The sequence below is a fragment of the Homo sapiens genome, chromosome 4 (genome assembly GCF_000001405.40).
Source record: "Homo sapiens chromosome 4, GRCh38.p14 Primary Assembly".
In the NCBI taxonomy this organism is placed as follows: domain Eukaryota; kingdom Metazoa; phylum Chordata; class Mammalia; order Primates; family Hominidae; genus Homo; species Homo sapiens.
Genome location: NC_000004.12, coordinates 139,517,127 through 139,531,925, shown reverse-complemented (window position 1 = coordinate 139,531,925; position 14,799 = coordinate 139,517,127). Strand labels below are relative to the sequence as shown.

The 14,799-nt window shown below is 41.2% G+C and overlaps 1 protein-coding gene across 3 annotated transcripts in view, besides 1 other annotated feature; it reads left to right on the top strand.

The window, feature by feature from the left end:
* The window catches only part of SETD7 (SET domain containing 7, histone lysine methyltransferase), a 63,246-nt gene that overhangs the window by 24,294 nt on the left and 24,153 nt on the right, over positions 1 to 14,799 (top strand). For 2 of the 3 annotated variants that reach the window (NM_001306199.2, NM_030648.4), the window contains exons 4-7: positions 2,706 to 2,895; positions 8,491 to 8,572; positions 11,532 to 11,649; positions 13,884 to 14,041. In NM_001306199.2, the coding sequence (NP_001293128.1) occupies positions 2,706 to 2,895; positions 8,491 to 8,572; positions 11,532 to 11,649; positions 13,884 to 14,041 (548 nt within the window). Of the gene's footprint in view, positions 1 to 2,691; positions 2,896 to 8,490; positions 8,573 to 11,531; positions 11,650 to 13,883; positions 14,042 to 14,799 lie in introns of all 3 variants that reach the window. The other variant, XM_017008661.1, reaches the window with a different exon arrangement.
* Positions 3,364 to 3,423: an enhancer, noted in NCBI's record as "active region_21926". NCBI's record gives its function as "activates an Ori minimal core promoter by ATAC-STARR-seq in GM12878 lymphoblastoid cells {active_cell/tissue: GM12878}" and the evidence as "EXISTENCE:reporter gene assay evidence [ECO:0000049][PMID:35858748]".

Genomic DNA, 14,799 nt, shown 5'->3' with positions numbered 1-14,799 from the left:
AAATGGGGTTTCACCATGTTGACCAGGCACTGGTCTCAAACTCCCGACCTCAGATGATTTCCTTGCCTCGGCCTCCCAAAGTGCTGGGATTACAGGTGCGAGCCACCACACCAAGCTGAAAATATATTTTTACTCTGAAACCTTATGATTAAAAAGTGCTAATAAAAAGAAATGATCAGTTACATATATAACAAGAAAAGTAACCCCAGCTAAATCCACTTACACATCATTGTTCTTAAAAAATAAGTTATAATCTAGGAATAGGGCATAAGAAAAGAATGTTGTAAAACATTTTCTAAGAATTGCTAAAGCATTTAAATATCCTCTTGGTAGGATCCGTGATAGATCAAAAGTTGTAACACGTACTGCTTAGGAGAAGAGAAGCAGAAAGATCAGAAGCGGTGGAGGTGCTGCCCAGGGTAGGAGGACCGAAACCTGGCCTCGTGAGTAGCCAGGGTGGGCATCTTGCTGCCCAGTGCTGGGGCGCTGCTGATGTGACAGTGCATCTTGAAGTCAGGGGAAGTGGAACTCTCTACATAGAGATGAGTATAGGAAGCAGGCAAAGTGTTGGATTACTAGATTCTCCTACTACCTGTCATTTTACTTGTGACATAGTCAATGAAAGTCCCTAGATGGGATCAAAGATGCGCCAAGATTGGTGAATGGATTGGCGTCGCTCAACATGGTTGCATTTTGAAAACCAAAAATATAGCTACATTTTAACCTTTAGCCTTGATTATCATATTAAATCTCAAAGAAGACTCTGCCTTAGGAAGGAGCATTGGTGAGCAGAAAAGCAGCCTTTGTCCTCTTAACCCCTACCCAGTAGAGAAATGGGTGTCAGTAGGTGTCAGACCCTGGCTGCTCACCAGTCAAATTAATGATTTCTCCCCCCACGAGGAGGAGCCAGTGAGCAGAGGAGAGAAAGCAGCCGTTTCTTTCCCCACACTCCCTGACGCCTGATACAGCAGAGGAGGAAATTTCTGTAATGGGCCATAGCAGGAACAAGGGGAGAAAAAAGTGATGATTTTCCCTACAGTCCACACTTGTAAGCTCACCCTAAGGACAGTGTATTTCTTTCAAAAATTTACCTCGAAAAAGTTTTTCATATAAGGTTTTTAATTAAAAATATATAACTCCTTTTGGAAATGAAAGAAGAATTTCTACTTTATCATTCTGGACAAATAAATTCACTCCCTCTGAAACCAGAAATTTAAACATTTAAGGGGAAAGGTGTGAGACCCTGGAAAGACAGACTTCTGTTTTAAATAAATAGTAATATTATCTTATGTTAGTCATGGATTATAAGAAGCACAAATGCTCTTATACCCTTCCATTCAATAATCATCACTAAAAGCCTGAAAGCAGATCTTGCAGGAAGTATCATCTCCATTTATGCTCAATTATTAAGAATTAACTTGAAGAGAAGAAAGAGCAATGACTATATCCCTAGTGCACTTTCTATCCATTAAAAATGCTTCTAAGTATTTTTCTTTCTATGTAAGTGCCATGATTCATTTTTAAATTTACATCCCTTTTCCTAGAAGGCAAAAAAAAAAAAAAAAAAAAGGCAGCATTTGGGATCACTCAAAAGTCATCCTACATCATTGGCTTTGAGTAGCTAGCTGTTCCTAGATCCTCAAGTTGGAGAAATTAACCAAGCTTTTAAAAGATGTCATGGCATTACTATTGTTAAATCAAACTCCCTAAGGTCTTAAATTTTCAAAGTTATACCATGAGGACCTTCTGGATGGAAAAAAAAAAGAAAGAAAGAAAGAAACATCTCTGGCACCCTAGCTTAAATTATTCATTACTTTTTGGTAACCCTGTTCAATTTAAAAAGCGTTTAAGAATCACCTACTGTGTCCCTACCACTTATCAAGGTATAGAATTATATGATAGCCTCTTCCCTAAAGTACTCAATGACCCCTAGCAATGAAGTAAATGGAAGAGTTAAGCATGAAGCTAAGTGCGCTGCTCTGCTAAAAGGAGGCAAGAGGGAGCAGGAAATAGAGTGGAAAGAAAGAATTGAGATGGGAGTGAAATTTAGTTGATCTTTTTTCACTTTTCCTTCTAATTCTAAAAAAGGTGATGGTATAGGAGTCTCAGAAAGGCAGTGTCCAGACATCCTTTTGTTTGCCTCTGAAAAAGTGCAGATAACTCTCTTTACTTGTGTACACTAAATTAATTCTTAAGTACATTTGAACTGAATATTTTCCTAACACACTAGAAATCCAAAATTTAATATTGAGAAGGGAGATCTTATGAATAGTGGGTAGGAGTGTCTTGCTAAAGATCGTCATCATATTTGATTTTGGCCAAAAATAACACTTAGTTACATTTCCTTTAAATATTGGTAATTGATGTTACAAATATCAAAGAAACATCATTTATTTCTTAGTAAACCAACATAGAGTATCAGTAACTTGTCCCGGATTACAAACTGCAACGGAATTTCCCACTCTCTAAATCAGGCATACATGCCCCAAATGCGTATGACTTTCTAGCAGTATATTTGTATGGAGCTGGATGAGGAGCTATGCATCATGTTTTTCTTACCCAGGTGAAAAGCTCTGGGTTCCTAAACTGTTATTATCCCTACTGGTGCTATATTAATAATGGGACTGCAGAAGAGAAATTTCTTGGGACTCATGTCCTAGACATACTATATATAATATTTTCTGGTTTTTGGTTTCTCCCATCAGGATGGAGGAAGCCTTGTAGGAGAAGTAAATGAAGATGGGGAGATGACTGGAGAGAAGATAGCCTATGTGTACCCTGATGAGAGGACCGCACTTTATGGGAAATTTATTGATGGAGAGATGATAGAAGGCAAACTGGCTACCCTTATGTCCACTGAAGAAGGGAGGCCTCACTTTGAACTGATGCCTGGAAGTAAGTTGAATCTGCTTCAGATGGGTTGCTCCAATTCCAAAGCAGGTTGTTAGGGCTGATTTGAGACAAGCTTCTTTTCTTTTCCTCTCTGTATAGTTCTCTTTAATCGTGTTTATTAGTCAGGTTTTATTGCATAACAGACACTGCACCTCCCCAGTGGTTTACAACAGCAACCACAGCTCTGCCGAGCAGCTGTACTCCAGCTGGCTGAGGCTGGGCTTAGGGGGCCAGGCCAGACTTGAGGCTTCTGGTCAGGTTTGAGTCAGCTCTCTTTGTCTTAATTCTGGGGCCTAATCTGAAGGGACAATGGCAATGTGGGGCAACATTTTCCCACAGTGGATCACAGAAGTGTCAGAGCATAAGCAGATACCTGTGATGCCTTTTGAAACCTCACCTTGGAACTGACATGGTGGCACTTTACTCACTTTTCACTGGTCAAAGCAAGTCACATGGCCAAGCCAGACATCAGTGAGACAGGGAAATTACACCATACACATTAGTGGGAGATACTGAAAAGTCATGTGACAAAGGGCCTAGGTATATAATTCTCATATAGGGAGGGAATAAAGAAATGACAGCAGTAATTCAACTGATTTCAAATGGTTATCTCTCCAAAAAACTGTACTATGATAATAAAGAACCAAATCAAGTAGATCTCTAAACTGTAAAGTTGATTGAGCCTGAGCTGTGACTGGAAAATATAAATGCATATTGGCATCTCGAGCCCAACATCTTGCGTGGAGCACAATGTATGAGTGAACCCAATGGAATCCATATTTGAAAAAAGTATTATTTTCCTTTTAGAAGTACACATGTCACACTAAACATTTTTTCTGAGTATAAAATTACTAAGTGTAGAAAATCTGGAAAATATACAAAGAAAAATCAAGATTTTGCATTTTGAGTGGCACAGCTTAAGAAAGCTATTTGAATTGGTCTGATTCCCTGAAAACAATATATGCATGTATTTCTGAGCCAGGTTTGGTTATAGGGAGAAAAAAACAGAAAAGACAATAAATCTGGGCATTAATAGGCTTAAATAGTATTTAGTTATTTGGGATCTGAAGAAGAATCTCCAAAGGAAGCTTGTCCAAAAGTGGAAATTTTAGCATTTATATTTAGGTCCAATTTGGGTTGCTTTAAATGTCTTTTTTGTTTTTTTAAGTTAAAAATGGAGACAGTCTAAATGCAATGTGGGATTCTGGATTGGATCCTGGAAGAGAAAAAGGACATTAGTGGAAAAACTGGTGAAATCTAAATAAAGTCTAGAGTTTTGTACATAGTAATGTATCTGTGTTGGTTTCTTAATTTTGACAAATGTACCATGCACTGTAAGAAGTTAACATTAGGAGAAACAGTGAGGATGCTCTGTGCTTTCTTTGCGACTTTTCTGTATACAGTCATGGGCCCATAACAACTGTGGTACCATAAGATTATGCCATATTTTTGTTTTTATTTCATTTTATTTTTTAAGGGACAGGATTTCACTCTGTTGCCCAGACTGGAGTGGACTGGTGTTATCATAGCCCACTGCAGCCTTGAGCTCCTGAGCTCAAGCAATCCTCCTGCCTCAGCCTCCCCAGTAGCTAAGACTACAGGCATGCACCACAATGCCCAGCTAAATATTTTTAAATTTTTTTGTAGAAACAGGGTCTTGCTGTATTGCTCAGGCTGGTCTCAAACTCCTGGCCTCAAGCAATCTTCCTGCCTCGGACTCTCATAGTGCTGGGATTACAGACATAAACTACTGCACCCAGCTAAGATTATATCATATTTTTACTGCATCTTTTCTGTGTATAGATATGTTTAGATACACAAATCCTTCCCATTAGGTTACTGTTGTCTATGGTATTCCCTATAGTAACAAGCTGTACAGGTTTGGAGCCTAGGGGCAATAGGCTGTACCATTTATTAATAGCCTAGGTGTGTAGTTGGCTATACCATCTAGGTTTGTGTGAGTACACTCTCTGATGTTTGCATAATGACCAACTCACCTCATGACACATTTCTCAAAATGTATCCCCTTCATTAAGTGATGCATGTCGTATATTTGAAATTACTCCAAAATGAAAAGTTTATTTTTTTAAAAAAAGGAAGCAGTAATCTTTGAACTACAAACTGTGATATCTATGCCCTTGATCTATGTTCTGAAAGGAGACAGTGTTATAATATTTAGAAATGAGGAGGCTCGAAACAAGGGAGGATCCCAATTGGTGATGCCAGTTTTAAAACTTCAGAAGTAGCAGCATTTTTAGTGGCAGGTGCCTAAACTTAAGAATCACCTAATTTGAGACCTAGCTCTAACATTTACTATATTATCCTTGGGCAAGTTATTTATTTTTTCAGAACCTGTTTCCTCATTACCAAATGTGGATATTAGCACCTACCATAAAACACTGTAATGAAAGTTGTTATTACATTCTTCTTGCTATAAATAAGAAACAGTAGGCCAGGGCTGGTGGCTCACAGCTGTAATCCTAGCACTTTGGGAGGCTAAGCCAGGTGGATCACTTGAGCCCAGAAGTTCAAGATCAGCCTAGGCAGCATGGTAAGATCCTGTCTCTCCTAAAAAATACAAAAAAAAAAAAAAAAAATTAGCTGGGCATAGTGGCATGTGTCTGTAATCTCAGCTACTTGGGAGACTGAGGTGGGAGGATCACGTGAGCTCAGGAAGTCAGGGCTGCAGTGAGCTGAGTGCACTGCACTCCAGTCTGGGCGACAGGAGTGAGACCCTGTCTTTAAAAAAAAAAAAAAAATTGTTGAGAGTGAGAATTCTAAAGGGAATTATTATTTTTTTAGAATTTCTGGTTGCTTTAGCTGGGTGTGGTAGAGTGTGCCTACAGTCCCAGCTACTCAGGAGGCTGAGGCACAAGAACCGCTTGAACCTGGGAAGTGGAGGTTGCAGTGAGCCAAGATAGCACCACTGCATTCCAGCCTGGGTGACACAGAGACTCTGTCTCAAAACAAACAAACAAACAAACAAAAACAAACAACAACAACAAAAACCTTCTGGTTGCAAATAAACATTCACTTCAAATTAACTTAACGCAGAAAAGAAAGGGGGGATTTATTGGCAAGATTCCTGCAGACCTCAGGTGTTTTGAAATGTTGAATAGTTTGAGCCTCAAAAGGGCCAGGAACCATGGCTGCTCTGGCACTCTGAAGATCCTATAGACCGATCTTTAGTCTAATGTTCTGCCATGTTTGTATCTCTCCTCTGCCCCTTCCAGTTATAATTATTGACCTGCTGACTGGCCAGTGGGTTAGGGGGTACAGGGTCCTGTGACTGTAGCGTCCAATGGTTGGGGAAGGAGAGAAATTAATGCAAATATCTCACATAAAACACTCCTTGACCTGTCGCCTCACCAGCTTCTCCATTTCTCTGTGTGCTTTTGTAACCACAAACTACTTCTAATTCTCTACTTACTTCCTGTGGAGTTTCTCACCTATGCCACTGCTTCTCACCTGATCAGCCCTACTCCACATAGTAACTGCTTTCCTTGGCTAATTCCTACTCCATCTTTAAGGCTTAACTCACTTTTTATAATGAATGTTTGTCCATTGAATAAATGAATTCTAGTCAAAGGGCATAGCATACTATAGAGGAAAGGAGGGAAAGTAAAGGATGTGTAAAATCTGTAAAAGTAAAGGATGTGCCTGCAGCCTGGGCATGTCTAAGGCAGCAGAAGAAGAGACAGTAGGCATTGGAAGAGATAGTGTGCACTCCCTGAAAGCAGCAACAGAAGTTAATCCTTATTGTATCTACACAGTCCCTAGTGTTGTACATGTAGCTGGCACTCAGTAAATTTGTCATAAAAATTTTAGTCTAAGGAGCTAGATGGAATTCATAGGAAAATTTCCACTCAATAGAACATACATTCCACACACAATTTTGGTTATTTATAAAAAGTGACGGCTGGGCACAGCAGCTCACGCCTGTAATACCCGCACTTTGGGAGGCTGAGCCAGGTGGATCACTAGAGGTCAGGAGTTCAAGACCAGCCTGGCCAACAGGGCGAAACCCCATCTCTACTGAAAATACAAAAATTAGCCAGGCATGGTGACAGGCACCTGTAATCCCAGCTGCTTGGGAGGCTGAGGCAGGAGAATCGCTTGAACCCGGGAGGCAGAGGTTGCAGTGAGCTGAGATCACGCCATTGCTCTCCAGCCTGAGTGACAGAGCAAGACTGTCTCAAAAGAAAAAAAAAGTGGGGGAGGGTGGTTTAAATGCTTTTCGTGGATTGCTTGGTGGTCTGTTACCACTTTGCTCTCAGATCCAATCCATTCATCATTCTTTCACTGCCCGCTATTATTGCAAGAGGCTGCTGCCCCTTGCAGCCTGCATTTTTCAGGCTCCTGTGTGTCTGACTTCTGTCTGAGTTTGGCCAAAGGGAGGCCACTGGCTGGCTGGGGACAAAGCAGGAGAAGGCAGCAGGAAGAAGCCCTCTCTGTGTCAACCAGCATCTCCAGCAGTGGCCCCATCACCTCCTGATTCCATCTCCCATGAGGAAGGCCCAGGCTAGTTCCAACTACCCCAGCTCCAGAGCTCCAGGAGCAGCACTGTGCCCTCTGTCCCTCCGGCCTCCAGTGGCAGCTTCCTGCTCTTGCCAGTGTCTGGGCTCTTCACGGCTCCATCTGGCTTGTCAGCATTCCATCCCCTGTATGACCAATTCCCTGAACTGAATTCTTTTTGAAACACTCAAATGGTCCGTTTCTGTGCGGACACTGACTGATTTGGATTGGTTTCTGACTTTTAGTTTCAGGTATTCATTGGGGTTTTGGTTGTACAAAAAAAGCCACTCACAAACAAACAGAAAGAGGACCTAGTAACCATTAGTAACTACTGAAGAATTGCTTAATGGGATTATGAGTTTTCCCTCAGTGTATATAATCATTTGTTTTGCAGGAGTAAGCCCTCTGATTCTAAATCTTGTTTCTTTACCTATCAGTCTTCAGAGCATCTATCTTTAGTGCTGTCTGTGAGGATTCTCTAAAGCTAATCCTTCACAGAGAGCCAGTGTTCCTTCTAGGGTGGTTGTGTGCCTTGATTTCTAGAGTAAATTACTAATTGGCTTCTGAACTACCGTAATAGAAAGGAGATTACTTTGTTAATGCTTTATCAAAAGCAGTGCTGTTCTCCTTAATTCTGGTGAGGCAGAATTTTATTCTTAGTGAAGGAGACAACTGCCAGTGTTCAGTTGTTGGATTCTGTAGACTGTATCTGTAATGAAGAAAACCACCAGAAAAATTTAAAACCATCATCCAATTTGATCTGAGCCAAGAGATCTCAGAATTTCATGACAAAGCATTTTATTGATTCCCAAGCATCCTTTAAGTCATTTTAATAAGGAAAATTCAAGAGTGAATTGGAATGTTAAGAGATGCATCTGATGGCTGTTCATGAAGGCCTGAAAATAAAACTGAAGCGTAAATCTAAAATGTATCCATTTAAATTGAAGAACTTCATTCTAGTTGGTATAACTTGATTAAGATTTTTGGTTTTTTAACTCTTCGTTGTCCCATGAATAGAGAGAAGTGTTATAAATGCTCTTCCCTAACTCTGCACCTATACTGGTATTTTTGTTTGCTTTTCAGATTCAGTGTACCACTTTGATAAGTCGACTTCATCTTGCATTTCTACCAATGCTCTTCTTCCAGATCCTTATGAATCAGAAAGGTAATTTCCTCCTTGGGGTTTTAATTGCACTGTTTATGTGAGGTTAAATAAGCCTAGTGGTAGGAACTTATGCACCTCTTTGGCTCTCTGCCCAGGCTGGGTTCCAGCTCAGACCAAGCTCCTCATGAAAGTGTCCTTTTCCTTTGCCAACCCTCAAATAAATATTTCTATATTCTGAGGAAGAGTGTTTTTATTCTTATGTAGAATCTGACCCTGTAAGAGAGTTTCCTCACCCATAAATCACAGAACAGCTTGTGTGTCTGTCCTAGAGTAAAACCTCCAGGTAGAAAGAGCAGTTGAGGCCAGGCATGGTGGCTCATGCCTGCAGTCCCAGCATTTTGGGAGGCCAAGGCGGGCGGATCACTTGAGGTCAGGAGTTCAAGACCAGCCTGGCCAACATGGTGAAACCCCATCTCTACTAAAAATACAAAAATTAGCTGGGTGTCATGGCGTATACCTGTAATCCCAGCTACTCGGGAGGCTGAGGCACAAGAATTGCTTCAACCTGGGAGGCAGAGGTTACAGTGAGCCGAGATCATGCCACTGCACTCCAGCCTGAGCAACAGAGCAAGACTCCATCTAAAAAGAAAAAAAAAAAAAAAAAAAAAAAAAGAGCAGCTGGGCCAGGCAGCCAGCTGTGTCCTGGCCGAGCATTCCCGTTCTTAGGGTCTGTGCTGCAGTCACATGCTGGCCCTCTAGGGGAACATTTCATGCTCTTTAAAGCTCTAGCCTGTGCACACAGGATGCCTCCATTTCATCTTAGACCAGCGGAGGTGTTCTGGAACACAAGACAATTTCTTTTTTCACAAACAGAAGACAAGAGTGAAACAAAGAAAGTATAAGAGGCATAAAAACATTCTAGCTTATAAATGACAAGTTTCTGGTTTGTAAGCCCACTCCCAGAGGGTCACATCCTGTTCTACTTCATGTCTTATTTATGAGGATGGCTAAACTCTAGCTCTTGAGTCTTGATGTGGCTTTTTCTGGTACCCTCTCTGGGATTCTTCTTATTCCTTAGCAACAGATCTGTTTATGAATAAGCGTACTATCTGAAATTGGTTTTCTCTTTGCCTCGTGTTTTGTAAGCATGGCTTACCTCCCATTCAGTTTCTGTTCCCATCTGAGAAATAGGCCTCTTCCTCCATTCAACTGACAGGGCTGACCCCACAATGTCACAATGATGAATGGACTCTTTTTTGACATGAGGCTCTGGCCCAGTTACAAAGGGAAGGGTTTAGCTTCTTTGTTAGCTCCGAAACACAAGACCATAGCCATACGTGTTAGTCTTTTCTGTTATTATTGTTGTGATGAGGCTGCATAATGATGCCCTCAGAACTTTCAGTGGTTTACAGAATCAAACATTTTGTTTTACACCATAGTTCTATAGGTTGGCTGAGGTTCAGCCACTTCTGACTGGAATCAGCTAAGCTCAGCTGGCCTAGGCTGGACTCCAGGTTTCAAGTTGGGTTCAAGTCTGTTTCACATGTTTTCTTTACAAGAGAAACAGGGAGCAACAGCCCCCTAGGGCATATTCTTCTAATGGAGACAGTGAAAAGTCTGGAGGAGGCCAGCAGAAATTTGCCCCAGCCCTTCACACCTGAGACTTGCCTGCAGCCACTTCTGCCCATGTTCTACCAGCAAAGCAGATCAGATGGCCAAACGAGAAGTCAGTAGGGCAGGATGTATCCTCCACCCACCCTGAGGGAGGCACTACAAGGTCACGTGGCAAAGTGGCAGGATGTATATAATTCTATCACAGCGAAGAAATAAAGAGTTGAAAGCAATAAATCAGTCTTCCAGTTCATGAATAAGCATAAGAGCCATGTAACTAAAATTACAGATGATCAGTTCCTGTAGGGTCATTCCATCCCAGCGTCTGGTTAAATCCAGTTCCGTAATTATGAGCGCTTTTTTCTTTTTTTTTTTTAAGACAGAGTCTTGCTCTTGTCGTCCAGACTGGAGTGCAATGGTGCAATTTCAGCTCACTGCAATCTCCACCGCCTGGGTTCAAGTGATTCTCCTGCCTCAGCCTCCCGAGTAACTGGGATTACAGGCACCCGCCACCACACCCAGCTATTTTTTGTATTTTTAGTAGAGACGGGGTTTCACCATGTTGGCCAGGGTGCTCTTGAACTCCTGACCTCAGGTAATCCACCCGCCTCAGCCTCCCAAAGTGCTGGCATTACAGGCATCAGCTACCACGCCCGACCAGCTGTTTTCTTATAAACCAGTGGTTGGCAAACTTTTTCTGTAAAGGGCCACATAGTAAATATTTTAGGCTTTGCAAGCCATATAATATCTGTTGCAACTACTCAATTCTGCCTTTGTAGAGCTAAAGCAGTCATAGGCAATACTAAGCAAATGGGTATGGCTGTGTCCCAATAAAACTTTACTTACAAAAATGAGCAGCAGCCAGACTGGACCCTCAGGCCATAGTTAACTGACCCCTGTTATGAACCCTTTTGCTGGGAAATGCTTATTGGATATATCTTATTAATTGTTTGTCACTGTTGCATATAGAAGATACATCTTGAGGCTTAACTAAAACAGCCTCCTTTCCCTCCCATCTAACACTGACAAACTTAGATATAGCTTTAATTAACTTTGAAAAAATGTTTACTTGTCCAGTAAGGCAGTGAAAATTGTCATCAACTAAAAACATAAAATTCTTCCAAAAAATACCTCATATCAAGCACTGAGCATCTTTATGAAAATATAATGATAATTTCTATATTAGAAAGCAAATTTTAAACACCACTCCTAAAAGAGACATAACTACCGTTTGTTTAATTTCCAATGCCAAAATATTGTGGTTTAACTTTTTCTTCCTCCCTCCCTTCTTAGTTGGGTTATGAATTGACATTTTGGAATCAGTAGCCTTAATGATATTTTGGCAGTTGATGTAAGGAATGACATATTAAGCTGAAAAGGTCACTATTCAACTCTTTTTTCAATTTAGGGTTTATGTTGCTGAATCTCTTATTTCCAGTGCTGGAGAAGGACTTTTTTCAAAGGTAGCTGTGGGACCTAATACTGTTATGTCTTTTTATAATGGAGTTCGAATTACACACCAAGAGGTGAGTGGGGCTGACAGTGGAAAATCAACTTTGTTGGTTAAAGGGCTTTGCTTCAAACAAAATCCCTTTACCTTAGTACTCACTAGAAAGTTAAAGAAGCAGATTGGCTTTTTTGTAAAAATGATTGGACATTTTCATCCTCTTTATTTTAAGCCTTAATACGATTTTTTTTAAAAGTTCCAGAGCTATTTTATAGAGAGTGGGGTAATGCCATCAATAAGACAGTAATTGGTATATTAGACTGTACCAATGTCTTAAAAATTGAGATCCAGTCAGACTCTGTAAATAACTAACTCATGACCTTGGGTGGGGTGCTTTATAGGAAGGCCCCTTACATCTTCTTGTGCAAAAGCCATGCTATACTATATCCTACATTTTGTCAGGAAGAGTTCTTTTGTCAAAAAAATTAAAAACAAAATGTTAAAGAGTTGAATCACCTCTTACCTTTAAGATACAATCTTTGATATATGTCAAAGGCTTCATATATGTTTTCTGTTTTTGTTTCTTCACTTTACAGTTAATTTCCCTAAGTGTCTGCCTAAGGGCAAAAGTTCAATGTTTTTAGCACAGCTTATGCGCTCCTTCCTTGTCTGACTTATATTACGTGTATGGGACCTTAAGCTTATGGCTAATATTCCACATTTATGTTCACCTTTGCATTTATTCCGGTGGAACAGTAAGAGGGAAAATGCTGTGAAATAATAATAAAGTTATTACACTTTCAAAGCAGTTGCACAGGCAAAAGAGGGCGACGTATTCAAACTGCACTATGGTCTGTCAGACTACGTCCCATGCAAAGGCCAGACTTCTGTCAGCAATCCAGAGAAATTCAGCATACAAAGGGTGACTTTGGGATATTGATATATGATTTACTTACTCATTTTACAGATAGGGAAACGGAAGCCTAGAGAGATTACACAACTTGCTTAAAGTCAAAAATACAGCAAATAGCAGAGTTCAAGTAGGATTTCAAACTGCAGAATCTGGCTTTGTGCTGAACCTCAATATGCTCTATTGTATAAATGAATGTGACACCCTTCTTGCCCTAATGAAATTTAGATTCTGTTGGGGAGATAAGAAAAATACACAACTAATGGCAGCCTAAGGTAGATGGTACCAAGTGCCACATATCAGTATCACATGACTGGTTTTGAATATTAAGGTCCATGAGGCTTTTTTCCACTTTTGATCACTGCTGTATCCCCTGCACCTAGAAGAGTGCCCGGCACATGGTACCGCTTAGTAAACATCAGTTGAGGGACTATCACATATGAATAAAAGCACAATTACAATTTAATAGTGGGGGAAATGGTATACCTTGAGAGTCAACAGTTTTGTATGAAAATGTCATCCTGTTGGCTTCAAAAGGCTGGGCTGCTGTCATCACCAGCTCCTGGGGTGAGTTCATCAGGAGTGGTTTGGAGAAGAGAAGCCTGATTGTTACACTGTTAGTAACCCCTGTTGTAGATAAGAAGGCATGCTGGTAATCGATGGCTGCCTCCTGGTCACAGTGATTTCCCACCTGTAACAAAGGTGGAGGACTTGCCTAGAGTACATTCTTGCATCCCTTACATTTCTGGTTCCATTTGTGTTCTTACTTTGTTTTTTTTTCTTTTGCCTCCTCTTCTTTATCTACTTTTAATACAAGCTATCCAGTTATATTTGTGTGTGTTTTCATCAGGGACTTTAAATCCTTTTTTTTCATATAGAACAAGGAAAAATGAATAAATAGTTAAGTCGAGCTGCCTGGCACTGACCACACATGTCATTTGCACTCTCAGTGTGTGGAGACATGCCTTGTTTTGTTTTGTTTTATTTCATTTTGTAGTGCTCAAACCTTGAAGTTTTGGCTGAGTGTGGTGGCTTACACCTGTAATCCCAACACTTTGGGAGGCCAAGGTGGGCAGATCATCTGAGGTCAGGAGTTCGAGACCAGCCTGGCCAACATGGTGAAACCCCGTCTCTACAAAATATACAAAAACTAGCCAGGCATGGTGGTGCACACCTGTAATTCCAGCTGCTCAGGAGGCTGAGGCACAAGAGTCGCTTGAACCTGGGAGGCAGAGGTTGTGGTGAGCCAAGATCACGCTACTTGCGCTCCAGCCTAGGTGACAGAGTGAGACCCTGTCTCAAAAACAAAAATAATAATAAGATAAATGAGTTAATATCTCTGATGTCCTTTGACCTTTGGGGAGAAAGGTCCTCTCTAAGGCTCGCTTTCTTGTTTTCTGCAGGTTGACAGCAGGGACTGGGCCCTTAATGGGAACACCCTCTCCCTTGATGAAGAAACGGTCATTGATGTGCCTGAGCCCTATAACCACGTATCCAAGTACTGTGCCTCCTTGGGACACAAGGCAAATCACTCCTTCACTCCAAACTGCATCTACGATATGTAAGTATTACCCAGAGCTGCTGGGGCGGATCTATGCCTCAGGGCCCTGAGACGGAGGAGGGCAGTAAAAAGTGTTATTCTGCCTCAGATAAAGGCTGCTTCATCTGAATGACCATGGGTCCTCTGCTATCGGCCTCAGGGTTATGACTTGAAACTCAAAATCTAAACAGCCTCACTCTGTGGCTTTGGCAATCTAAGAAATGGAAAGTGCTTTGAAGAGGAGAAATGGTATGGAAATAGTATACCACACCGAGGGGTTGCTGTTTTATAGCCGCTTTTCTTGTCCTTCAGTTTTCTCGTTTTGGACAATTAAAGATAGTGTTATTTGAAATAATAGTAAAAATTTAAATTACTCTGCACAGTGGAGAAGATGAAGGAGCCCTTTTTTTTTTTTTTTTTTTTTTTTTTTGAGATGGATTTTCCTTCTTGATGCCCAGGCTGGAGTGCAATGGCGAGATCTCAGCTCACCGCAACCTCTGCCTCCCAGGTTCAAGCGATTCTCCTGCCTCAGCCTCTCAAGTAGCTGGGATTACAGGCATGCGCCACCGCACCCAGCTAAATTTTGTATTTTTAGTAGAGATGGGTTTTCACCATGTCAGTCAGGCTAATCTCGAACTTCTGACCTCAGGTGATCCACCAGCCTCGGCCTCCCAAAGTGTTGGGATTACAGGCGTGAGCCACCTCGCCCAGCCGGGAGCCCTTTTATGATGTGAAAGAAAGAAGGAAAATAAAGTCCTAAGCCTAGGGCATGACATCTC